The sequence below is a fragment of the Homo sapiens genome, chromosome 3 (assembly GCF_000001405.40).
Source record: "Homo sapiens chromosome 3, GRCh38.p14 Primary Assembly".
In the NCBI taxonomy this organism is placed as follows: Eukaryota; Metazoa; Chordata; class Mammalia; order Primates; family Hominidae; genus Homo; species Homo sapiens.
In genome coordinates, this window is record NC_000003.12 from 192,205,200 (window position 1) to 192,232,469 (window position 27,270).

Here is a 27,270-nt window from a genome sequence, read left to right on the forward strand (position 1 = left end):
GTGTGGTCCCAGAATTGTAGCTAAATCCAAGATTAAAATATTCAACCTTATCCACCCCACATTCTAAATAAGCTTCCTAGAATTAGAGACATCTACCCTTTATAGCACTTTCTAAGAGATTAAAGAAATACCGCCAACTACCATACCATATCCTACCCCCATGTTAATATAAGAAAAGGATGAGAGATGAGAGAGGGTTTTCTTGGACCTAGGTCTTTGAGAGACGCAGCGTTCCTGAGGACAATCAATTCCCTTCCCTCCTTGTGGATTAGTTAGGGGAAGGGAGAATATCCCTCCTGCCTGAAGCTAAGTGAAGGAAGCTCCAAGAATATTATGCATAAAACTTAAGTGCCCAGCAAGAAGAGACTAGCATCTTATCCTTAGACTGGGTGCTTGATAAACAGTAGTCCTGTTGGTGTAGGCAGAGTAGGGAGTGCTTAAGAAGTTCTTGTAAAAATGTGACTTGTGCCACCTCATGTTTTCGGCCTTTGAGAACATAGAAAATGGTGCCCACTTCTGATGAAGAGATTTGGAAATCAGGCTCCCTGCTATAATTGATTATGGGATCATAGAGGAGGCCTTGAAGTGGTGTGATAAGCGTGGAAGAAGATGAGAATGCCAGCTATTCCACTCCAGTCTTTACATCCCTGCAGGGACACAGAAGAAGACCTCTGGATTCCGCATGGCTATGCATATTGAAGGTCCAGTTCAAAGAATGTGGTGCTCTACACAGAGGAGGTGTTACTATTGTGCACCATTGATGGGGTAATCAGAGACACAGCTCCTTCTCTGAGAGGGTCCTCACCAAGAGAAGGTCACAGGAAGTTGAAGATGACTCCAAGAAAACCATGCATATTGCTAATATGGAGACAATTACATCACCTGAAGCTTTAGCAGCAGACAGAACCAGGCCAATCCAGAGCAATGCCATAGACATCACTCCACTATCTTCATGTGCCTTTATAAGGAGATCTCTGCCTTTCCATCCTTTTCCCTTTCCCTGAAAAACTGAAGGCTCTAGGCCCAGAAGCAGCAACGGAAGGGGAAATCTCAGAGAACCCTCTTCTCTTTCACTCTACCCAACAAAGGATCATAGATCATAGCTCTAGTCTCCAAAAGGGAAGATCAATAGCCTGAAATCAGATATGAGATTAAAGTTTTTTGCTAAATTAGACCAAGTGGTTGGAGAATAATAGAATCTACTCAGTACGTTGTTAAGCAGGAAAGCTGGATTTGACAAAGTACAGTTAAAAGTAATGACAGGAAGAACAAAACAAAGCGTAATAGGTTCATATTTATATCCACCAAGTTGAGACTGCTCAATTACAAAAGAAATATTAATGCACTTCTGTGTTTTTGGTTTTTAGTCCAGTTTAACAGCACTCAATCTACATTAGTAAATGAATATTTCTAAACCATATCACACATTTTGAAACAAAACCCACTCATATTTTCGGGCACTTTTTCAAAAAAGAAAAAATATATTTTCGACAAGATAGGGTGGATGATGGGGACCCTACCTATAAGTTTTATTTCTTCAAAAGTTGCCTTGCTGTCATTGAAACAAATGGTGAGCAAAACGAAGTTAACAGTTTAACATTTTATTAAAAGGGTGTCTGTATCCAACTCTAAAGCACTGCCCTGACTCTCAACCCTCCTGGAGGGCCCCCTGGAAGCTGCCCCTGAAGCTTCCTTCACACTGACCTCAATAGTGGGAAATCTTATTCTCTGGGGGTGAATGTAAACTTTAGAGTTAGGCAGAACATAATTTCACACATTTTTTCATGTATTAGACATCAGTCGTGGTGCTAAGTCTTGAGGAGGAAAGATATTATATTGGGAAAAAAATAACTAGGCTTTGGCATCAGAAAATGGGATCAAATCAAAGCTATAGGCTTTATTGGCAGTCTAGTCCTGAGAAAGCCCCTTAGCATTTGAATATCCATCCATTCATCAGTGAAACGAAAATAATACTTCATAATTGTATTGAAAGTCCTTAATGATATATTATTTGTAGAGCATATAGTTTCTGGGATTTAGTAAACATCCAAATGTTATCAACCTTCAACATAAAAAGATTATGATGTCATGCCTCCTAAACTTAAAGGCCAGTTGTGGAGACATATAATTACAATAAAATGTAATGAGTTCTCTCAGATGTGAGCAGATTGCTATGACAATAAAGAGGCAGATGACTAACTTTCCTTGGAATGCTGGAACAGTGATATTTGAGCTGAAGCTTTTGCAGAAGGAGGGATTCTTCAGGTACAAAAGTTGTTGGACACGGAGCGATCCCGGCATAGCCAAAGGCAAATGCAGAGAAGTATGAAATGTTCAGTGTATTTGGAGAGTGGGGAGAAGTGAAGTGTGGCTAGAGCATATGGCATGTAGGGGGAATACCAGGAAGTGTTGCTGGAAAAGCAGTCAGGGCCAAAATGTGAAGGGTCATCGATACTTTGCTAAAGGGCTTGGCATTTATCCAGCAGAGGATGAAGATCTGCAACGGGGATCCAGCAGAGGTTTTTAGCAGGGCAGTGAAATGAGTGGATTTGTTTTTCAGGAAATATTTCCTTGGCATCAGAGTGGCTGATGAATTAGAGTTGAGAGAAACTGGTGTCAAGACTTACAGCAACAGCCTCCTACCTGGGCTCCCTGCCACCATTTCAGACACGCTGAAGTGGAGGTGCCTGCAGGACACTCAGTGTAAACCACACTCACAAAGCTAAGCAGAGGAAAATCCTACTTAGGGCCAGATAAATTACAGGGTAATTATTTCCACTGCAGAAACATTCTCTGCTTCATAAAAGGATTCATTTTAGGATCCCAGAGTTCCTCTAAATAGCAAGTTTCTTAGTGCATTTAGGCATCCCTTTACAGCTCATTAGCTACTTGATAGAGGCGGAGAAAGTCAAGAAAATCCTAAAGATGTACTTTCAAGTGTTCTTATTAAAAATCTTCATGGATGAAAATAAAATGTTTGAAGTTATCATTTTTCAATGAAAAAGGAAATTTGATTTATAAAAGCACTTCGATGTGATTTATAGAAACTAGAATAAGAAGAATGTCTGTTACGATATTCCATAGAATGCATTTCACAAATTTCAGCCACCATAACTCAAAACACTGTAGGGAGTGTGACAATATGAGTAGTCAGATTAATAGAAATAGCTAGAAATACAGCTGTTTAGCCACTGAATAAGAACCTCTATTGTCTTTAAGCCTGAATCTCATACATAGTTTTATGTTAAGTGCTTCTCTCTGTCCACAGTTTCTCATCAGATGAACTATGTCCTTTGCTACATAAATTAAAGAACATGTTGTAATTTGGATATTTTATATATATACACCAAATTATAAAAGAAAAACTATTTTAATCTCATTATATTGAATTTTCTTGTGAATAGATATTTCACGAGAATACATTATTAATATCAACGGAGTCACTTCCAGAATGCAAATAAATGTAGAATAATTTCAATTTTAAAACAAAAAACACTGTTGGGAACCCTCTTTGAGGAATGCTTTCAGAGCATTCTTTGACCTATCTTTACTGGGAGCAACTCCTTTGTAGTGAATTTACTTTTTCAAAATAGACAAATTTCAATTTGAGCCAAATGCTTCTCAGTTGCCACGTGAGAGGTATCTAACTTAGCTACTGTCTATAAGTGTCTCACTCGGCATAAAGTGTAGTATTAGTGTTCCTTGTAGTACCTTCAGTTGAACTAGTTCAGAGAATTCCTTGTTGATAAAAGCATGTGGCAGAAACTGACAACTGTCTTTCAGTATTCATTCTTTTCTAATGTGTTTGATAACAACACACGTTTTTATACTTGGCTACATTACTTAAAAAGTTAGACAATATTTACCATTCTTCCTTGTAGCTATATGTAGTCATCTGACTAAATTAAGGCTAATATGATATAAATGAATATATATTATGGGACTTTCAGAAAAGCTGATTTAAATGAGTTGATTTGGCTTAGAGGAAAACATTTTCTCCCCTACTTCTTCCAGCTATTGCCACTACCACCACCACCATCATCATCATTTTCATCATCATCATGAAATGTGGATGTAATGGCTAGAATTCCAGCAGCCATCTTGAATCAAGAGGTGATGAAAATTATCAATGAGGATGGGAAAACAGAAAAATAGAAAGCTGGGTTCCTAGTGTCCTCTGGGAATCCTGTGCTAGCTATGGACTGTAGACATTCAGATCCCTTTTTATAATAGAACAAGCTTCTGCCTTGTTTAAACCACTTTTAGTTTGTTTAAAGTGAAAATTAATCTTAGCTGACACAGGTTATATCAAAAGAGAATGTATTCTTGTCTACATAAATTATCAGGATAAACATGCACAAGATGAATTAAGGTGAAGTGTTTTGTCATTCTGAATTTTCTAGCTTCACAAATAATGATGATGCAAATAAGAATATCCCCTCACATCAGTACAGGATTTTAGAGATAGGATACAGGATTTTAGAGATAGGAATTTTTATATCTGTGACCACATTTAATCTTTGAAGTAACTCTGTAATAAAGCAGAAGGACTTCCATTTCCCATACAAACAGATGATGAAATTAAGGTTGAGCTATCTGCCTCAGGTCAAACAACAGCAGTTGGTACAGCCAGAAACCAAACGTTCTTGACTTAAAATGTATTGCTTTCCTATTGATAACTTGCAGGTTCTACACGTGAACATTAGTCACATGTTGTATACCATTCACTACCTGACTCACTTACGTGCTCCTTTGATTAAAGATAAAAAAAATAGCTTTCATAGTTTTTCACTGGGCTTCTGTTTTTGCCATGGTGCAGTAACAGTGACTAGATTTAACTTCCCACTTTAAACAACCAAAAATTATACCATATATGAAACAATGATTTTCAGATGTTGGGAAACATGCAGTGTACAACTGTGATCCTTGAGAGAAAAAAACATAGTGAGCATTGCCCCAGAAGGAAATGTCTAGACAGCGGCACAGAAAGAAAGAACACAAACAGCCAAGGAGATTCACTGAGCTGAGGAAACAGAAACTGGATTTCAGGGAGCCAGGGGAGGCAAGGTGGCTAGAAGTTGGGTGTCAGTGTATCAGATTAAAAGAAGTCAGTAATTTAGACGAATACTGACCTGCATATGTGTGAGAGGAAACTACCCAAGGCTATGGGAGAAAAAAAATACACAAGAAAAAAGCCAGATAATTCTTGGAGCTCACACAGAGCCAAGAGTAGTTCATGTCCCCACAAAGGTGGACAGACCTGGTAATATATGGGGCTTTGGCTGGAGCTCTAAGAAGGGTATAACTAGTTTAATAAAATTCTAGGAAAGTCAACATAGAGTACACAGAAAAGAGATGGAAGAATAGAAAGTTACACAGTAACCTAGGATTTTATGAACTTGAACATAAATGACAATTGCAGCACTTCTGTTTGACCTCGGTATTTGTCATAGAATTAAATTAAATTTCTACATATCGGATATAGCAAGGAATAGAGATAAAAGTCTTTACCATCGCGGAGCTTATATTCTAACGAGAGTAGAAGAGAGAGACAGTCATGTAATAAATATTATATTGGAGGAAATGAGTGCTATTAGAATATAAATGGGGGTAAGGTGTTGTGAGAAAGAATGTGGCAATTTTAAGAAGTTCATAAATTCATCAAGGTAGATGAGACCAAAGACAGTGATGAGGCCAGGGTGGCTGGAGGCAACGAGAAGAACAACAGGAGAGAAGTCAGAGATGTATTGATGGGTTAGATCCTGTAAGCCATTGTGAAAACAGGAGAGATTGCAAGGTTTAAAGCAGAGGTATGACATAATGTCTCATATCTCGAAAGGATACTCTTCCTGTTGTTTGGATTAGGCTCCAAGGGTGCAATGGTGGATTCCCACCACTAAGGAGGATATTACAGTATTCCAGAGGAGAAGGACTGAAAGCTTGGATTTGAGGGGCACTCTGGACAAGGTGAGAAATGGTCAGATTATGCATATAATTGAAAAAACAGAGCCATGACAATGTTCAAATATTATATGTGGGATATAAAAGAAGAGAAGAATCCAGGATGCTTTTGAGAGTTGTGGTGGTTTTTAAGCAACTAAAAGGGTAGAGTTGCCATTAACGACAAAGGAGAACACTTTGGATGGAGCATAGTAGAAGAGAAGATCAATCCTGGACATGAAAAAATCAATGGCGGTTTAGTGTGTGATACCACAATATTGTGATTTATTTGTTTATTTTTTTGAGACGGACCCTCGCTCTTGTGGCCGAGGCTGGAGTGCAGCGGCGCAATCTCGGCTCACTGCAAGCTCCGCCTCCCAGGTTCAAGCAGTTCTCCTGCCTCAGCCTACCGTGTAGCTGGGATTACAGGTGCCCCCCACCACGCCTAGCTAAATTTTTGTATTTTTAGTAGAGACGGGGTTTCATCATGTTGGCCAGGCTGGTCATGAACCCCTGACCTCAGGTGACCCACCTGCCTCAACCTCCCAAAGTGCTGGGATTACAGGTGTGAGCCACCGTGACTGGCCTTTATTTTTTGTAAACATAAAAATATTGTAAAATATTGTTATTTTAACAATACATTTTAAAGAAGGTATTAGATCTGCTGCATGGTCATTTTTAAATGCTTTAAAAAAGACATAATACAAAATAGCTTTCCCTTTCAAATAACATAATAAATCCTACATAATTGCATATTTTAGAAGAAATAGGAAAACACGAAAGTTTAGACTCTTGCTACAAAGTGAAGTCTCTCCCACATTAAACACAGGAATGTTAAACAGCCTATAGCGTTCTCCCAAATAGCCCATTGTGCAACTTGAACAACATGTATTTGCAATTTAACTTCTGTTTTGCCTAACTTCTTTTTCAAATGCATCCTCTCTGTGTTGCAACACTGTCACTTATACAGACGTGCACAGCAGGGCCTACCTTTAAATACTGAAATCTCTGAGAAGTTGATTGCTCTTCCAATCACTTATCTGGCTGCAAACCGCTGAGTTGTTGCCATGATTAACAGTTATTCTTTCATAGACAATAAAAACAGGAAGGTTATATAGTGAAGATTTAAAGCTAGAAACAAATATATTGATAATGAATACGAACACTGTCATTTTGCAGCTATGAAAACTGAGGACAGTGTAGGGAAGAGATTTCCCATAAAACGTCAACTCTGATTTAGTTCAGGCAGTTAGTTTCAGGAAAAAAAAATGTATTAAATGTGTTATGTAAAACGGTGTGGGGAGAAGAATGGTTAAGTTTAAATAACTTGTTATTTAGAAGATGGTAGGTGAAAAGAAATACATATATATTTGCTGCTGTCTGTCTGCCCCCTATACTCCACTGTGTGAAAATGCAGTAAACTGGGCTAATAACTTATAGCACAATTTGCACAGTCAAAATGAAGGTTTCTGCTAGATACCATTAAACTCAAAGGTCACATTTAATATAAACCTTTTATCCTGCCTGGACTCAAAGCAGTTTCAGGATTTGTCATTTAACAGTCATAAATAATGTGCCTCATTTTGTGGCATCCTGGAGACTGAGAATCTCTCATATTTTCTTCTCAACATTAAAATTCACAAAAATGGGGGGGGGGTTAAAAAAAGAAATAAAAAGATAACTTGGTAATTTCTGTTGATAATTTCAAAAGCTGGTCCTTGAGCTTTGGTGGAGACAATCTCGTTAGCATCAGTGATGTGTAATACAATAAAGAGAAACACACAAAAATCAAACACCCTGTCTGGAGTGGCAGCTGCTCTTGTCAGAGCTATCTGTCTCGTGCCAGTCCCAGAAGTGCAATGGTACCAATGGTCTTTGTCCCATGTTCTTCCTGCAGCAAAACTTGTCAGGTTATGATGTGCCAATCTTTATCAATGTCTACAGTTCTGCACAAGAAGGTTCCTCACAGAACGTGCTTACGCTTCTGGGCAAGAAAACGCTGTGTGCTGTCACTCTTCCTTCCCCCTTGTAAGCACAATTGTCCCAGCAAGCGAGCGCCAGAGCAGCTGAAGGCGAAGGAGAGCATCTGCCTATTTCTAAGTCTTGGTTATCTGAAAGCGTCTCCAATTCTTTTTTTTTTCCCTTTTTTTTGGAAGCTGCTTTTGTAGTCAGTAGGGAGCTCTGGATGAATCAGAATAGGAATTACCCTTTTAAGAGGGAACACCTTCTACTTGTTTGAAACTCTAAATCCAATAACACTATTTCCAGACATGAATTAAGCTCTTTAAATTGATAAATGCTCATATCATTTTATTTTCTCATTTATAAATATGCATCTCATTTCATTCGCACAGCCATTTCCAGAGTAAGTATTATTTTTCCACTATAGTGATGATGATACAGTTTTCAAATAAGTCAAGTGACTTATCTGAGATCGCCCAGCTTAGAAGGGGCAAGACTAAGTCTTAGATCCAGTCTAGCTCTCATTTTACTTCATTTTAACTGCCTCATTTCAGGAAGTTACAGTTTCTATCACTATAGGAGTTTATCCTCCAGAGAGTTGAAGAACCATAAGAACTGTCTCTCTCCGTGGCTCAACAGATAGATTGAACACAGCTCACACTACTCACAGGCCTGTGATTCAGCCAAATTGTTCCTTATTTCATGTAGCTGTGGTGACTCTCAATAGATTGGATCTTCGTGGCCCATTTATTCCAATGCAGCTTTCAGTTTCACTGACCGTTGTGGAAGCTGTGGGCATTTGACTGTGAGTGAGCTCTGATTCCAGGGTTGGGGAACTTCCTGGAGTACCAGGGCATGAAAGACCCAAGTCAAGAAAAGGGAGGGGCTTTTTTTTAAAAAACTGTTACTTTTCTCCCTGTGTGTCCATGTAATTTACAAATATTATAACGCTCGTTACTAGAATGCCAAACTGAATTAGGTCATTTCTCAATCTAGAAGATGCTTTTCCTTCGACAGAGACGGGAACTGTAACATTTACCAAGAAACTATATGATTGTGTGTCACGTTTTACATTTACTAATTCATTTTTGTTTATTCTTCACAATAACCACGTGAGATCAGTGTTATACTCATTTTACTGCTTAGGAAATTCAGAGCCAGAAAAGGCAAGATATTTTCTCAATATTTCATGTTTAATAAATGAGAGAACCCAGAACCAAAGCTAGAAATAATAACAGTGAATCTCTGAGTAAGCACAGTAACATTTCTTCCATGAATCTTGGTGTGTTTTACTTTTTTATTTGCAAATGTTCTCCTGGGGGAGGTAATGGTACTGTCAAATATTTTTGCTAACAGAAGATGTGGAATGAGAAGAGACAAGTGACACATAGGTCACCATCATCAGATGCTCCAAATAGGTCTATATGTGTGTTACAGTAGAAAAAAGGAGCTCTAACTACAAACTGGCTTCCAGATCAGTCACATTTTCCTGTGTTCCACATAGTTTCAGTTGTTATGATGAAGCAACTTACCCACGAGCAGAAATAAGCATGGAGAAGGCAAATTGGTAATTGACATGTTAAAAGTTGTTAAAAATGCCAACTCATAAGCATTGTTAGTCCAAGGCCAACAGCTGTCTTAAATATCAACATTAGGATGAAGCTAAATAGCACACACATCTTTGATCACATAAGAATGTTTGGAGAAGAATGATTTTAGGAACTTGCATTATGTAAAGAATAATATTTGTCAACTTAAATGTAGTTACATGAAAACAATTGTTTTAGGTACTCTCACATGTAACCCAGTTGCCTCCTTAGGAATGAATTTATTCCACAGCTGCTGGGAGAACTGCTGGAAGAAATTCTTCATGCTTTCAGCTCCCCCCAGATCTGCTTAAGAGAGCTGCCTTACAATGACTAATCGACATGGAGGTATAGGGGCCAATCCTCTTCAGCCTAAATCAGAGGATGCTTACGTTGTCATCGGCTCTTCCCGAACTCTCTACAGGAGTGAATGGCTGTGTTCTCCCATCAAAGCTTCATCCTTACTCACAATTCCCTCTGCTGAATCCTGTTTCCTTGTCTTCCCTTTCCTGGCTTTCCCTCGAAGGTGTTGATATCATTTTCATTCTCAAATAACCCCCACCTGCCCATTAGACTCTGCACTAATCTCTGTCTCAGAGTCTGTTTTTCTGAGCCAATGAAGAAGGGAGAGAGGAGAAATACTTGGTACTCATCACCCAGCAATTTAAAGAAGTCTTTCTTACCCTCACACCACTACTGCTGGTTGCTAAACCTTAGCACTATAATTGATGGACCTCACATGGCAATTATTCATTGGAGCAATGGTGCTTCTTCAGTTAAGATTTTTACTTACTACACATTATCTGTAGCATTGGGCCCAAATGTAAGTGCTTGGCTAATGGTTATATGGGTCTTAAAGGCCAAAAAGCCATAAATTCAATACTACTTTAAGGCTGACAGCTTCTCCACAACACTCCTGCCGACTCTGTACCTATTATCTCCTAGCAGGTCTTCTGTTAGGAAGTTCTCATTGTCTCTCCAAATAGCTCAGAGCCATCTCTGTACAGATTAGACTGCTCTCTCTTATTTCCTCCAAAACCTTTTTCCCCTGTAGAAGAAATTCTGCCAATCTTTTACTGGTGGTAGACATATAAAACAAAGCCATTTCTTTGATATAATTCTTCAATGACATAAAAACAACTTTCTAGTTTCCCTAAAAGTCTCATCTAACGTCCAGCTTTTTATTATTCTTTCCTCACAGGAATTAATTTTAAGACTCCTCCTTCTTCACTTTGCTGCCCTCCTCTCTATGCATCCCACTATCTTATCTGTATTAAAATGTTGAATATAGTCATGATTAATTCATTGTACAAGCACGTGAGTTTCTATTATGTACAAGGCACCTTGCTAGACCCTAGGAATATAGTTCACAAGGAGCTCAGATAACACAGTAAATTTAGGAAAATTTACTTTCCTCTGAAACCAATTTCCAGACCATTGTTACAAAGACAATGTAGTGTATTGTTATATTCAATGACAGAAAAACACCATCTCCTCCCATTTACATTTCTCCAAGTGACTATTTCTTTTATTTTTTCTCCTCGCACAAAGAAGTATTATTAAATTATTGTTAACCAGAATTTTATGAATTGGACATTGTCACACATCCAGCCATTTGTTATCTACCCCCTGGTAATGGAGGTTATTCCCTGCCACCCAGATCTTGTTTTACTATCCATTGTCTTTAACAACAAAATGGAAATTATTTTTCCAGCTCTTAGTCTGAAATCAAAACAAGATCACTCTTGCATGGAAAGTAAATGAATTTGCACATCGTTCCATCAAATGAAATACATATCATAAAATTTGTATGTGCTAAAAAACTTGGTTTCCCTTTATATAAAATTTTTTATAACGTGTAATAAACAATACCTTTAAAATGCTACATAATCAGAAACTTCTATAAAAGATTTATAAAAAGAAAATTATTGACATTTGGTAGGATTTGGTAGGCAATAGCAGGGTAGAAAACAATCTCTAAATAGTTCTCTCATTCCTTTTTCATTTTATCTCAGAAATCAAGTTTAATTCACAAAATTGTGGAGCTGAAAATAATCTTTAAAACTACCATTTTCAGGTGAGAAAACTGAGGCCCAGAGAAATGCAATATCTGTTTAATCTACAGAGAGTGTGGAGCAAACACGGGCTTAAACTCTGGTTTCCAACTCTTATCACTTTATTTCACAACAATTTTTTCTTTGTACTGGTAAGCATCTTAATAATTGAATATTAAGGATGTGAGAAGATGAATTAATCGAATCAGGAAACTTGATGTTTCTAATGTGTTTGTTTTATTTATAATCTGTGCAGCAAGGAAAGCATGTTTACTGAGTGGCACTTGCTATACATACAGTATGCAAGAGCACAGTGGTTAAGAACATTTGCTTTCAGCCAGATAAACCTGGCTTCACATCCCCACCCAGCCGATAACTAGCTTTCTGGCACTGTGCAAGTCAATTAACCACACAAGGCCTTAGTTTCCTCATCCCTAAAAGAGGGATAATGAAGGTACCTCTTTCATAAGCTTGTTTTGAGGATAAAACGAGTTAATCCATGCAGTGCACATAAAACTGCCCAACACCTTAAGCGCTATATGAGCGTCTGCTGTTGTTTTTGTTGTTGTTACTATTTTTAAACTGAATAAGTACTTTTTCCATATTCTTCTCAGGTTCAGTTTGAATCTCCACTCTTTTCACTTTGTACCAGCCGGTAACCAAATTCAAGCTGAAGCAAAGAGGTCTAATCCAGGGGAAGAAGTGGGCACAAGAGTTTGACTCTATTACTGTGGGTAAATGCTCTTTATTAGAGAGCAAAGAGGAACGTAGACAACAAAATAAAAACACATGGAGCTGTAAAACACCTGCAGGCAGGTCTCAATGGCTGCCAAGTCTCTTTGCCATCATGTCAATAATGGTTTTATGAATAACTTAGAATTAAGCTTTAGTATTTTATTAGGAAAAATATATAAAATCAAATTTGAAGATGTTTCTCTGAATTGCTTTGCTTTAAATAGTTTTGTAACGGTACACATGCATTTAGTTCTTTTAAAATCCTAATTTAAAAGGATCAAGGGCTCATCACTGCCATCAGTAATTCATGATATATGACATACTAATTAATTCTTGTCACTTTTCTTTTTTTCTTTTCTTTTCTTTTCTTTTTTTTTTAGATGGAATTTCGCTCTTGTTGCCAAGACTGGAGTGCAATGGCATGATCTCGGCTCACCGCAACCTCTGCCTCCTGGGTTCAAGCAATTCTCCTGCCTCATCCTCCCGAGTAGCTGGGATTACAGACGTGTGCCACCATGCCCAGCTAAGTTTTGTATTTTTAGTAGAGATGTGGTTTCTCCATGTTGGTCAGGCTGGCCTCGAACTCCCAACCTCAGGTGGCCCACGTCGGCCTCCCAAAATGCTGGGATTACAAGCGTCAGCCACCACGCCTGGCCCTTCTTGTCACTTTTCTACGTCAGGAAATCACGTTCTATTAATGGATCTAAAAAGTGAAATTTATAAAGATAAATGGAGAACTTTAAATTTGAGTTCATCTTGTGGCAGGGCATTTGTGGCATGTGGGAAATAAGTAAGGAGATACTGGCATCTTTTGGGGCCAGTTGATCTGGATTATATGTGATATGGCTTAGATCTGTGTCCCCACCTAAATCTCATGTCTAATTGTTATCCCCAATGTTGGAGGAAGGGTTTGTTGGGAGGTGATGGATCATGCGGGTGCGTTTCTCATGAATGGTTAAATACTATCCCTTTGGTGCTGTTCTCATGATAGTGAGTGAGTTCTCATGTGATCTGGTTGTTTAAAATTGTGTGGCACCTCCCCGTCTCTCTCTTCCTCCTGCTCTGGCTATCACCTGCTTCCCCTTCCTATGTCAACCATAATTGTGAGTTTCCTGAGGCCTCCCCAGAAGGAGAAGCCTATACAGCCTGCAAAACTGTGAGGCAATTAAAGCTCTTTTTCTTTATAAATTACCCAGTCTCAGGTACTTCTTTACAGCAGTGCAAGAATGGACTAATCCAATATGATTCACAATTGCATACACAACAAAGTACTTTGACTAAAAATGAGCCAAGGCGGAAAAGAGGAAGAGCATTTTAAAATAACCATTTTATTTGGACAATATCAAACTTCATAATTTCCATTTGATTGCTAGATTTGCTCCACATTTAAAAAGTTACAAATACATACCTAGCTCTATGACCACAACACAAATGTATCTTCCAGGTCCTGACCCTGCCTTTCGGCTGCCTATTGTGACCCCTAGCTAGATGTTGCCCTAGTTGTGTAGCTGGGTTGGCAAACTTGGAAGTCCACATCTTTGTTTATTTGGTAAATGCAATGTTATAAAAATTAGAAACATTTACTTATAAATATCTATTTTTATTTTTTTTAATTATTTTTAAATTGAGATGGAGTCTTGCTCTGTCACCCAGGCTGGAGTGCAGTGGTGCAATCTTGGCTCACTGCAACCTCCAACTCCTAGATTCAAGCAATTCTCCCCCATCAGCCTCCCAAGTAGCTAGGACTACAGGCACTTGCCACCATACCCGACTGATTTTTTTATTTTTAGTAGAGATGGGTTTTCGCCATGTTGGCCAGGCTGGTCTCGAACTCCTGACCTCAAGTGATCCACCCACCTTGGCCTCCCAAAGTGCTGGGATTACAGATGTGAGCCACTGCGCCAGGTCATTTTAATTTTTAAATATCAGAAGAACTGACTAGTGGTTTTTGGCCTGGCTGCCTAGTGGGATCACCTGAGATACTTAAACACGAAAAACCCCCAGAAATATTTTAATATAATAGATGTGGTTTGAACCCAGGTATTGGTATGCTTCCTTTAAGCTCCTCAGATGATTCTCATGTGCCTCATGCTACAGTGAGCTGGGCTACAGTAGCATAAATTCCCAAAGTGGTTGACTAACAGCACCAACATCACCTGGGAATATGTGAGAAATGCAAATTATCAGGCCATATCAAGACCTACACGATCAGAAATTCTGGGGTGAGACTCAGGAATCTGTGTTTGAACAAGTGTTCCATAAATGTGCATGTGATTCTGACTCACACTCACATTTGAGAACCACTGCACTATGTAGACCCTGCACATCTCTATTAGTTATTGCTTATAGTTATTGTTTTCACTCAGTTAACTGACTTACCTATAGCTGTGTTTGTATTTGAAGATCCTCTAACTGAGTTCATTCTCATTTTCCCAGACCTAATTTTTCTTTTGAAATTCCTCTTTCTGATTATGACAAAAAGACACCAACCAAGCTTCAGGCATTGTTTTCTTTTCCAGTGCTAATTCAACCCTCTTAATATTACAATCATTTTTTTTTCCTTATAGTCCTACTGCCATTGTTCCAGTCCAGGCCCTCATTACTTCTTATCTTGACAATTGAATCTGTTTCTGGCTTCCCTGCCTCTAGTACCTACTCACTCCAGTTCCTCATATATACTGTTGACAGTTTTGTCTTCCTGAATGCAAGCCAAGTCATAAACTCATTCAGTTTAGAATTCTTCAGTGACTTGCCATTGAATATATTCAGTCTACTCCACCTAGCATCAAAGACCCTCCATGACCTGGCTCCTCCTTGCATTTCTACACTTCTCCTTCACCATTCTACTTCCCTATTAACTTTAAACTCTAAATAATTTACTATTGCCTAAACTTTCCTACTCCATATTGACTTTTAACTTTATGTTTCAACTTATGCTTTCATTCCACTTGGATTGACCAAACTTTGTCTTCTGTTACCATCTCCTCCAAATTCTCCTCACACTATAATTGTCCCAAACACCATTTCCTTCTGAAGCCTTCCTTGATCCATCAAATCTTAAGTAGTTTTGATCCACTCTGTACTACCTTAGGTTTTTATTCCGCCTCTCATACATCACTCGACATACTGAGATAACATGCACACACAGACAACATATTAGTTGTCAGTTACGAACTATCATCCATCTAGTTGGTTAACCAAAAAAATAATAACTGACTTCTATAAGATAAGAACTGTGCTAAGCTCTATATGACTGGTAAATATTGGTTCATTGAAAAGAAGCCTTAGAAATTTGGGGGTATAAATATGTTTTTTAAAAGTTTCTTTGAAGGATTTTTGAACAAATGGAAACATGATGTTAAATATTCCAATAGTCTACTGAAGATGATAATCTGTGAATCCTCTCCTTTCCATCTTCAAGGCAATTCCTCTATTATTACTCTCTTTATTAGATGAAATGAGACACAAATAAATCCTCCAAATATTGTATCTTAAAAGCATCTTGCACCAACCATCTGAATGACAAAGAGGTGAGTTAATGTATTTGTGTGACTCCATGAGAGGATGGTTTAAAGGGAAGAGTACTGGTAACAAGATAAGACTGGGTCTCAGCCAAACATGGCAGCTTGCCTACCTTTGGTGCTGCTTGGATTTTACTCAAAACACACAATTCTCCAATTTCCTCTTTGCTAGAGTTGGGTGACCTTTTCTGTTTGACAAAGCCTCACAAGGCTAACCCACACACACATTCATACATGATTGGTATTTCTTTTTATTTTAAGTGTTCTTCATGTTCCGGAGCCTTCTCACCTTAAAGCCACAAATTCTGCACATTCTCTTAGGCTCTTATATGCAAGCCATTAATCTGACAGATCAGCCAATGGAAAAATGGTAACTAGGTTAAAATGCTATGCATACGTAGTACTAATTAGAATTTAATAAGGCCTTACTCAAATGAGAGACACTATTATACCTGTAAGCACCATGACAGCGCAGGGATGTGATCAGTATCTTTATACTAAGGTACGTTAATAAACACCAGTGGTGCTGGAGGGAGGAAGAGATAGCCATCATGAATAACCAACTGCTTGGACCTTTAGAACATCATAAATAGTCCTTTAAATATCTACATTTTGGACGAAGTGACTTAGGAAGGCTTAAAGCTGGGGCAAATCAAGAGAACAATATGCATGGGTAATATAAAGAAAGAAATATAGTTCAAGTCTTGGACATCTAAAAGTAAAATGTAATTCAGGTCAACAAAGATTTACTGAAGTATAAAATATAGAAGAAAATATCACGAAAATATTTAAGATACAATCCTGTCTCTAGTTATGACTGGCAGTGTAAAGGTAGAATATAACAAGTATAAAATGATCATGATATAAATACCACCAAGGTTATATGGTGTGAGGATTCGAAGAAGCAAAATATAAACAAAAACAAACAAAAAATAGATTAGCAAAAGAAATAGAGAAACATTTGATAGAGATTTGCCTTATAATTCAAATTACATTTTTACCAGGAAAGGTGTGGTATGAAGAGGAAGCCACAGGAACAGAGAACATGACAGGTGTGACATGTATTCAGATACTATCCATAAATCAAATCTAGAGAGAATACAAGTAAATGGGGCAAGAAGTGGGAGACGAGACTGTAAAACTTGGTGGGGTCATCCTGATAAGGCCATGAACATGGGAATGAGTACTTAGTGCTGAGTAGGTGAAAAGAGATGGATGAAAGCCAGGTTTCTTATTCTCTTAGGTTCAACAAAGAACGCTGAAATACAGCATTCTTAACAGCCGACTCTATTGAAGAGACTCTATTGAAGAGACTCAAATAAGGTTCTTCGGCTGTAACATGTCCTTAGAATGTCCAGAGGAAAATCAGTTTCCATATCAGACACCTTTACTTCTATTCTGAAAAATTCTGTAAACTCCCGAACATGATTATTGGATTCCAGATTAATTTTTTCATTGTTAAAATGTTAGCATCTGGAAACTCAAAAGGAAAGAATAATAATTAGTATTTTTCTTGCACATCAGATTTCACCTTGCTCTAGTGTGGTGTTCTTTAGGAAGCTCAGTTGGCAGATACCAATTGAATTGTGAAAATATGTCTCTCCTCCACACTCAAAGATAATAAGAGTGTCTGGGAAACAGGCTGTATCAATACATGATACTTTTATTGTGTGTGAAAAAGGGAAAAATTCCAAATTAATCTTAAGAATATACTGACTGATATCTATCAAGTTAACCCGATACAACAGGCTGGGGAATGGTAAATCTATTCCATCAAAAAATATGGCCATGAGTTTCACCAAACCGAGTGCTCATCCTGGCTCTTTGTAAATGCAGGATGAAACTCAGCACACTTTCATTACTTATTCTGCAAAAACAACTGTTCATTAGAATTCTGAGAAATGAGTGTTGAATTAAGACTCAGTGTCTCCATCAGGATGCAGTTGAGAAACTCCCCCACGTTTCATGTCCTTCCTCTTCAGTTGCACGTATTCCGCACTGCACCTCTGCCCATACTTTACCCAAGGTTAGATATAACTTAGTAAAGTGAATTTAAAATTATTAATATTTTCAAAGCAAATAAAATCACATGAAAGGGATCTTGCAAATGCCTAAATTAAAACTCTTTTCTTTTAGCTATGTACCTTCAACACATTTTACTTACTAGAGGCGCCTGAACACTGAATATTACAGGTTACCTAGGAAACTTACAGTGACTACACTTAAAAACAACACAAAGCCCTCTAACTGAAGCAGAATACCATTTTAGAAAAGTCTATTTTGGGAATGGCAAAAAGAAATGGTTAACAAGTAAATATCAGTGCATAGCTACTGTCACATTTGAGTTTTTCTTCCTCACATTATTCTTCAATTTCTTTTTATGTCTGCCACTGAGTTGTTCCTGAAATAAAATAAAAGCTAAAGATATAATAATGAATAAAGGGCAATTATTTCTATTATCAGCTATAATCCAGATCATGAGATCTTACTCCGTGGCTCCTCAGATAATATGGAAATAATGTTATGCCTTTTTAGCATTCATTAATGATGGTGACCATACATCCAGTTTGTCTGGTATATTTCCAGTTTATGCCTATGGTTCTGGCAAAATTATTCACGGTATCTCATTTCACTTGAAAATTATCCAGGCTCGGATGATAAATTATGTTTGCCGTAACTGTCTATTACAGGTATATGCAGAATGTATTGAGAAATATAAAACTGTACTAGGATAGTCAGTGCCCTTGGGGAGCTATAAATGTATAATCTAATTGAAAAAATATAAATGGTAACATATTCTTTAAAATATTCACTACTAAACAATATAATGATATTATTATATCATTCACTATGACTAAATTGACAAAAATACTTGTTTCCGCAAACTCTCCTGCCTAATGTAATAAATTACACCAAGAAGGCACTTCCCCATAGCCCATAAAAAGAAGAAAGACAAAGTGTATAGAGTGAGTTGTGATAATTCTGCAAGCCTCAGCAGCTTTGTTAGCAGCAAAATCAAGGTCACCTTGGCTACTGCCCAAATCTAATACTACCACTGAGAGATTGCCTCAGGGTAGGGATTTTGTAAGATACCTGGAGAGTTGTTGCAGTGTTTTCTGAAATCCAATTACAAAATCCATTATTACTACTAGACAAACTGATACAGCATTTCTATATTTGCAAGGTGCAGAGCACTCACAGCTCAGCAAAACGGTGCTGGAGAACGCTTTCTGTATTATGATGATAGTGGTGATGATGATGATGATAATGACATACAATTCCATTTATTTAAATACTTTCTACTCCAGTCCTTCGAAAACAAACGTGAAGGATTTCCTACACAAAACTGGAAGAAGATAACATTTCTTTTTCCTTTTCTCTAGCCAATCCTTGTTTTATATAGTAAATAAAAATTATACCAATATGGCTTGATAAAGTGAAAAGACATTTTAGTGTTCAAATCTCAATTCTGCATCTCTTAGATCTGCCATTTTATTATAGAAAAATCTGTTCTGGGACTAGGAAAAGAAATGGTTAACAAGTAAATATCAGTTCATAGCTACTTTTTTTTTAATTTGGGCTTTTCTTCCTCAACTTATTCTTAAATTTCTTCTTAGGTCTGCCATTGAGTCACTCTTAAAAGAAAAACTCTCCAAGGCTCAATGTTTTCATTTTTATAATGAGGATTATCATAGTCCTACCTCAGAAAATTAGTTAGAATAAAAGGAAAGAAAAAGTGTGAAGTGTCTGGCATGATGTCAATAAAACTCGAAACTGAATGTTCTCAACTGTACATAATCCTCAGAGTAGTTCGAGTTGCCATTGCCACTGAGATTCTTGCAGTGACCTCTTCTTACGCTAGTAGGTTACAGCAGTAGTTTTAAAAGTCCAGTATGTAAATGAATCAGCTGAACTACTTGTTAAAATAGAAATTCCTGATACCATACCCGGAATTCTGACGTAATACATGTGAGAGAGGCCCCAGGACTTAGCATTTCTTACCAGCACCTGCCTTGCCCATCCTTACTACAGGCCACATTTACACAAACACAAGTCAGAGAAAATGAAGACTTGCCACAACTTCAAGGCTGAAATTTCACATTAAAAAAAGTATCATTAGCCACTTAACATCTCCCCCTGGATATTCTGCCAGCAAGTCTGTATCCCAAGCTGAATTTAACTTAAACCTTGAAATTATTGTTGCTTCTCTTAATGACCCTTCAATCTCAAAACCTCAGTATGCTCATCCTCCTGCTCACTAGCCATCATCGCTCTGCACTCAATATTTTGCATATTTCTCCTCTATTCCATCGTCATTCTCTGCCCCACCATCCCTTGCCTGACTTTTATAATCATCTCGTCTTTGATTTTTCCATCTCCATTCTCTCCCTCATGCTAATCAATCCTACTCTTGCTACCACACATACATTCTTAATGCATAATTATAATCTTAAAACTCCTTATAAGCCTCCAATGAGGATGTAAAAACACTGAAATCATCATATGTTGTTGATGGGAATATATAAATGTGCAGCCACATTGGAAAACAGTTTGGTAATTCCTAAAGTTAAACAGGTTACCACATTACCAACACTTCTACTCCTACTTTATATATATATAAGATAATTAAAAACATGTATCTACACAAAATGTATAAACAAATGTTAATATTCATAGCAGCATAATTCATAACAGTGAAAAAGTAAAAACAACTGAAATGTCCATCAACTAATTAATGAATAAAATGTGATCTCTTCCTACAATGGAATATTTTCGGTCATAAAAAGGACACGTGGACACATGTTATAACATGGATGAACCTTGAAAACATGCTAAGTAAAAGAAGCCAGCCATAAAAGGCTACATATTGTATGATTCTACTTACGTGAAATGTGCAAAATAGACAAATCCATACAGACAGATAGTAAACTGATGGCTGCCAGGGGCTGGGGGAAGGATGGAATAGGAAGTGACTGGTAGTGGGTATGGGATTTATTTTGGGGGTGATGAAAACCTTCTGAAATTAGATACTGGTGATGAATGCACAACCTTCTGAATATGTTAAAACACACTGAAGTCTCCAATAGCTCCTCACCACCTGCAAAAAAACAAAACCCTAAATTTCCTGACTTGGTATATGAGACCCATTCTTCTATAGCCTCTCTTCATGCGTCCTATACCCAAGACTAAGTGAACCATTGCTCTTTTGAAGTCCTGGTATGCTTTTTTCCCCATGGCTTAGGGCATTTTTTGAATATCTTTGTTTCATGCATGATTACCATAATATGTCACATAGTATCGGTACTCTATGCCTGAATGCCCAGTAAAAAAGCAAACTATTTTTTTCAAAACACAGTATCCTTTAAATTTTGTATGTAGCAATCTCCATTTGAAACATGAACATGCTGAGATCCTTAAAATAAGAATAAGGCAGAATTGTGTGTGTTGCAAAGACAACATAAAATGCCATTACTGCAGCCATTAATAAGTAAGCACACATCTATGTATAATGCACACACAAAACCCACATATATACATACACACATACTGCTATGGTCTGAAGTTTTGTGTCCCCCTCAAATTCTTATGCTTAAATCCTAACCCCTAAGGTGATGGTAACAGGAAGTGGAACCTTTGCAAGGTGATTAGGTCATGAGGGCAGAACACTCCTGAGTGGGATTAGTGTCCTTAGAAAAGAGGTTGGAGAGATCTAATGTACAACATGGTGAATATACTTAACTACAACATATCGTATACTAGAAAAATGCCAAGAGACTGAATGTTAAATGTTATCACCACAAAAATGATAGCTATGTGAGGAATCATATATGTCACTTAGCTAGATTTACTCACTCCACTATACATATATATATACTTCAAAACATCATGTTGCACTTGGTAAATATATTCAATATTGTGTGTCAATTAAAAAAAATGAATATAATGATAAAAAGAGGTTTCTCAAAGGAGCTTGTTTGCCCTCCTTCCGTGGGAGGATGCAGCACAAAAGGGCCGTCCAAGAACCAGGAAGTGGGCCCCCATCAGACATTGAATCTGCTGGCACCTTAATCTTGAGCTCCCAGCTTCCAGAACTGTGACAAATAAATTTCTGTTGTTTACAAGCCACCAAGTTTATGCTATTTTGTTACAGCGGCTCAAACAGACTTAAACACATACATATACAATAAAGGAATGATCATATCTTATAAAGTCTTACTACTCTGTTTCCTCATACTGCTATCAGCAAAATCACTACTTTAGCAGCAATCTCAGAAAGAAAAATAAAACCCAGGAAGCACAGTTCTTGTACTTATGCACAGACATTTAAGCCTTAACTCCGTACCCTGTGCCTCTCACCTTGGTTTATGAGATATCCTTTCCTTTGCTTTTATGAGGATGCCAGTTCAATCTTTTTCCAGAAGTAGACCATTAAGCAGTCAATATCCGAAATGTACCCTAAATGCTTCCTCATATTTCCCTTTATCTGACTAATGGAATATGGAAAGCAATGTTTAACCAGGGAAAAAACATTTACTTCTACCTGGTAAAGCTTAAATTCCATTTAGTGCTCAGAACTTAAAGTAAAAAAAAAAAAAAAAAAGAAAAAAGAAAAAAAATTTCTATCACACCATAGTAAGTGAGCAAGAGGTAACTAGTAAGTATATGAAATTGAAGGAAAAATTGACTGAAAGTCAAAACATAGTCTAGGAAGGGAAACTCACTCCCAACGAACCATCATTGACAAACGCAGGTCAATTACTTCTTATTGAACTCTATGATACATAGTCATGATTTTCCATTTGTGCTCAAAACAGAAGCAACTTCAGCAAAAAATAGAATTGACAAGCATTGAAAGAGAACTGCAAATAGTTGAAGCAAGGGGAATGTTTTTCAAAACAAAAAAATGTTTTGTTTCCTCTTTCTACTTTTCTGTATTTTCTACAAGAGGACCTATTACTTTAAAAGTTTGTTTGTTTAGAAGAAATAAAGATAAGTCATGGGGGGATGAGGAAAGAGGAGATGTTGGTCAAAGCCAACAAAGTTTTGATCAGACAGGAGGAATAAGTTTTAGTGATCTATTGCCCACCATGGTGACGATAGTTAACAATGTGTTGTTTAATTCAAAATTGTTAGAACAGTGGATTTTAAATGTTCTCGCCAAAAAAAAAAGTATATGGGTAGTTAATATACAAATCAGCTTAATTTAATTATTCCACAAATGCATACACATCAAAACATTACATTGTACTCCATACATATAAAAAATTATTTGTCAATTAAAAAATAAGTGATTATAGATGACATGAGGCATGCATTACCCATCACAGTGGTAAAAATCCAGCTTCCCTGTGTCCTGACCTCTTATTCTGTTGAGCAAGCATATCACATTTAATCATGACAATTGCATTACAGATATTAGCGATATATAAAAATGTAAATAGGCTAAATGTAACTAACTTTGCTCTTACCACAACAGTGTTTTATCTATGTAGCAAAGCTTCCATGTCAACTTGTCAAGGCGCGTCACCTTTGGACAGTATACACAGACAAGATATTAAAAATAATGGAAAATTTATCACAATCACCATGCCCTCGGGTGATTTTTCCCTCAGAATGAGAAATGATGCATTTTTACAGTGTTAGAGATAAATACAGAATCATCATCACTATTTTAGGAAAGAAACAATACTCAGAATTGAATGTCATATTCTCAAGGAATCCACAAGTCATGTTTCCTTAGGGCATAGAACCATTAAGATGAATATAAAAGAATATCACTTGCTCCACTGATTTACATTCTTGCTTTAGTTACAGGATTTAAGAAATTATTCCGTACAACTTTTAATACTGCGTCTGAGGAAAAACAGAGGGAAACTAGACACTACGAGAGCCAATACATTTGCAGTCACAGAGTTCAATTACGTTTTTTTAAAATTAACTTATTCAATCCTCACAATAATTTTCCGAGTTACATATGTAGCATAATCCTCATGTTACAGTTGATCAGATAATTTCAGGCTATGGTAGAGCTTATTATATTGTGAGATTCCTCACCTCATGATTGGAGCTCATTGAGAGTAAGGACATTCTATACTAAACCTAAGTTGTCTAACTTCTGGGACATGGCTGATGCACTATAAATTTTATGGATCTAAGTGAATAAAATTTTAAAAAAAAAAACCTGAGTTCTTGGAGGGCTATGCACACAGAAGGAATAGATGAAAGAATTAAGATGCGAACCCAAGAATGTCTTTCCATTTTACCAAGCCATACTGGTAAAATGTTTATTTATATAATGGTACAAAACAAGCATTTGAGAAAAGCAAAGAAAAATGATTATCTTCCTCCAGTGATAGGTGGGAATCCTTCACATTTGTTCCTTTAACTGACTTCTCTCATAGGGAAAGTGGAAGAGCTAAAATTTAGATGCAGGTATTCTGGCCCCTGTGTTTCTCTAAAACCTCATAACCTACTATTGGCTAATCAAGTGTGTGTTGATCATTGCAGATTTTTATTTTTCAGAAACTCTAAAATTGTTTTTTAGAGTACTGCTACCAGGTTAGAGGTCAACTATCACTATTAAGTGATACAATACAACATTTTGAAAATTAATTACAGATCCTGGAGACTAAGAAGATCCATGTTATGTAGTTTAAAATGAGGTAAATGTATATTTCTATGAGCAATTTATAAATGGCTATTGTAAGTAATTTGAATGGTCATGGAAAATAAACTAGCTGAACTACATGCTATTCCTATACAGCTTTGGAACATTATGTAAATGAAAGCGATCTACTCATGGAATCCGAAAAACAAAGCTCTTGCACTATGTTTACTAATTAGAGGTTCATACACCTGAAAAGCTTGAAATTGTCACATTCACTTTAGTTTTCTCATCTGTAAAATAAACAACTTACTTTTCATGCTTTACATAATTGTTGTAAAAATGGATGATACATTATGTGAGAAAGATGTTGTAAACTTTAAAGTGTAATGCATATGACGGAGCTTATTACCTAACATCTTTCTACTTAAGCTGTGGTCACAGCGCAATGGCATCAACATTCCTAGGAAGTGAACTGATCCAAAGAATCTCAGACCCCATTCCACACTTACTGAATCAGAATATACATTTTACCCATATTGCCAATAGACTTATTCACATGTAAGTTGGATGGAAAGCAGTAATTTCACTACTTTCAAGATCCACTTTTATCATTCAATATTAAAAATGTTTTGATATCCCAATTATGTGATGTGAAACTTCAGCAAATCCATGGGCACTTATTTAGACAGATACATATATGGTGTTACTGTTTCATATTCTAATTAAGCATTCCTCTACATAACTGTTTTGGCATACACATATACTCTTGATGTATTTGTTTTTTGCATCACTGAAGCAAATTTTAGACTGCACATTTCTGGACGGCAAGGATTGCCTTCAAATACTTAGTTCAGTGCCTGATAAATATGTAAACTGCCTTGAGAAACAGTGATGACAGTATCATAATCTGACAATAATTAGAGAAAAAATGCTTTGGATGCACAACTAAGAGTAGGAAATTCTCAGAAACATTAATTCCAACTCACCTGGAAATAACAATTCACAGAATAGAAAAAAACCAAAAGGTTGCTAATATTCTTGAGCACCCACACTTCATTTTGATGAAATCTAATGTCAGACTAACCTAGAGTTTCAGGTGGAAGTAATCATTCTTTTTTTTAATCTCTTTATTTTTTACTGTCATAGGGTAACAGTCTCCATGTATAATTTTAATAGGATTAGAGGACACCTTGAAATGTAAGGAATGATCAATCAAATTCATATAGTGCATCAGCAATTGTGATCTCCCAGGTTGTGGAAATCAAGTTGAAAAATATAGATGGTAGACATAGTCCTGGAATTTTCAAAACAAGAAATGAAAGCTTTAATAAAATTAAACACTTTAAGCTAATGATGACCTACTTAAGAAAATCATTTACCTTTCTAATTTTTAAGCACTTGAATTAGTTTAGATTTATAGTCTCTAGACATTGCTAAATTTGATTAAATGTGAAAAACTTAAAGTTCACCTGTAAAAATGTCCTTGATTAATTTTATCTGTTAAGGGAAAACCTATACCATCCTCTCTGGCCTTGGAAATATCTCTGACAGAGTTCCGAATTCTTCTCTGTATTTTAAATATTGTTGATATATTATTGATGCAGGTTTCAGTCATGCTGAACAAACCTTAAAATGCATGGAAAATCTGAAAATGCCTATTTAGATAGGTCACAGGCCCCCCTTTTTTTTTACTAAGCTAAAATTTAAAAATCAGGAATCACAGAACATCAACAACGAGAAAAGAGGTTGAATTAGAGGTGCTCTGTAGAACTCCAAATAAACACTTTACATTTGTATTTTCATGCATTTAAATTAGGGCTGTTAAAATAAGAGCAGGTGGATATAAAACTATTAGGTTGGTGCAAAAGTAATTGCAGTTTTTGGCCAGGTGCAGTGGCTCATGCCTGTAATCCCAGCACTGTGGGAGGCAGAGGCAGGTGGACTGCTTGAGGTTAGGAGTTCAAGACCAGCCTGGACAACATGGTGAAACCCCATCTCTACTAAAAATACAAAAATTAGCCAGGGGTGTTGGTGGGTGCCTGTAATCCCAGCTACTTAGGAGGCTGAGGCAGGAGAATCGCTTGAACCCAGGAAGCAGAGGTTGCAGTGAGCCGTGAAGGTGCCACTGCACTCCAGCCTGAGCAACACAGCAAGACTCTGTCTCCAAAAAAAAAAGTAATTGCAGTTTTAGTTACTACGTTCAATAGGAAAAAAAAACAATACTTTTGCACCAACCTAATAGAAAACCATCGACTAGATTAATCAGCTCATACCATGTGAATTACTGACCAGTAGGAAACAGAGATCAAAGTCAGTGCTGCCTGCTACTTAGGAGATGCAAAGGTAATTCCTCTGATGGACTTCTACGTTCATTTCATTGCTCAACGACGTAGAGATAATTAATTCTTAACGAATATTCATTTGAAATAAATTCTGACAAGTGCTCCATAATCCTTCCAGAATTCAGTAATAAATCAAATACACCTTTTTTTTTCTTGTAACTTCCCATTGACAATGTCATATCATTAAAACCCAGGCTATATGTGGTAGCTCTTTCCCACTACAGTGAAAGACATTTCAATGGGAAATGAGCTTGTCTATTAAAAATATCTTCATTGTTGTTTTCTACCAATCTGTATCAACAGGTCATTTTCTTTCCTTTCTTTTTAAAATAGTAAATAAAGAAGGAATGATTATGATACTTCTTGCTCTCTAGGAGCCACGTCATAAATGCTTAATTAGGTATGCCAAAGTTATTTTTTCTAATAGAGTACAGAAAACTCTTAATAAAAGATCAGATTCATTGATGTATATGCACAATATCAGGAAAGAGTTCTCATAATTTGTATAATTCCATAGTCAAC

At 36.9% G+C, this 27,270-nt stretch overlaps 1 protein-coding gene and 1 long non-coding RNA gene across 8 annotated transcripts in view; both read right to left on the reverse strand.

The window, feature by feature from the left end:
- The window catches only part of FGF12 (fibroblast growth factor 12), a 588,152-nt gene that overhangs the window by 65,810 nt on the left and 495,072 nt on the right, over nucleotides 1-27,270 (reverse strand). The gene's annotated exons all lie outside the window — the stretch shown is intronic.
- LOC124906320 (uncharacterized) lies at nucleotides 1,585-26,337 on the reverse strand. The gene is made up of 2 exons (XR_007096221.1): nucleotides 23,268-26,337; nucleotides 1,585-23,165 (listed from the first exon to the last, which is right to left on the reverse strand). It is a non-coding gene; the product is annotated as an uncharacterized LOC124906320 (long non-coding RNA).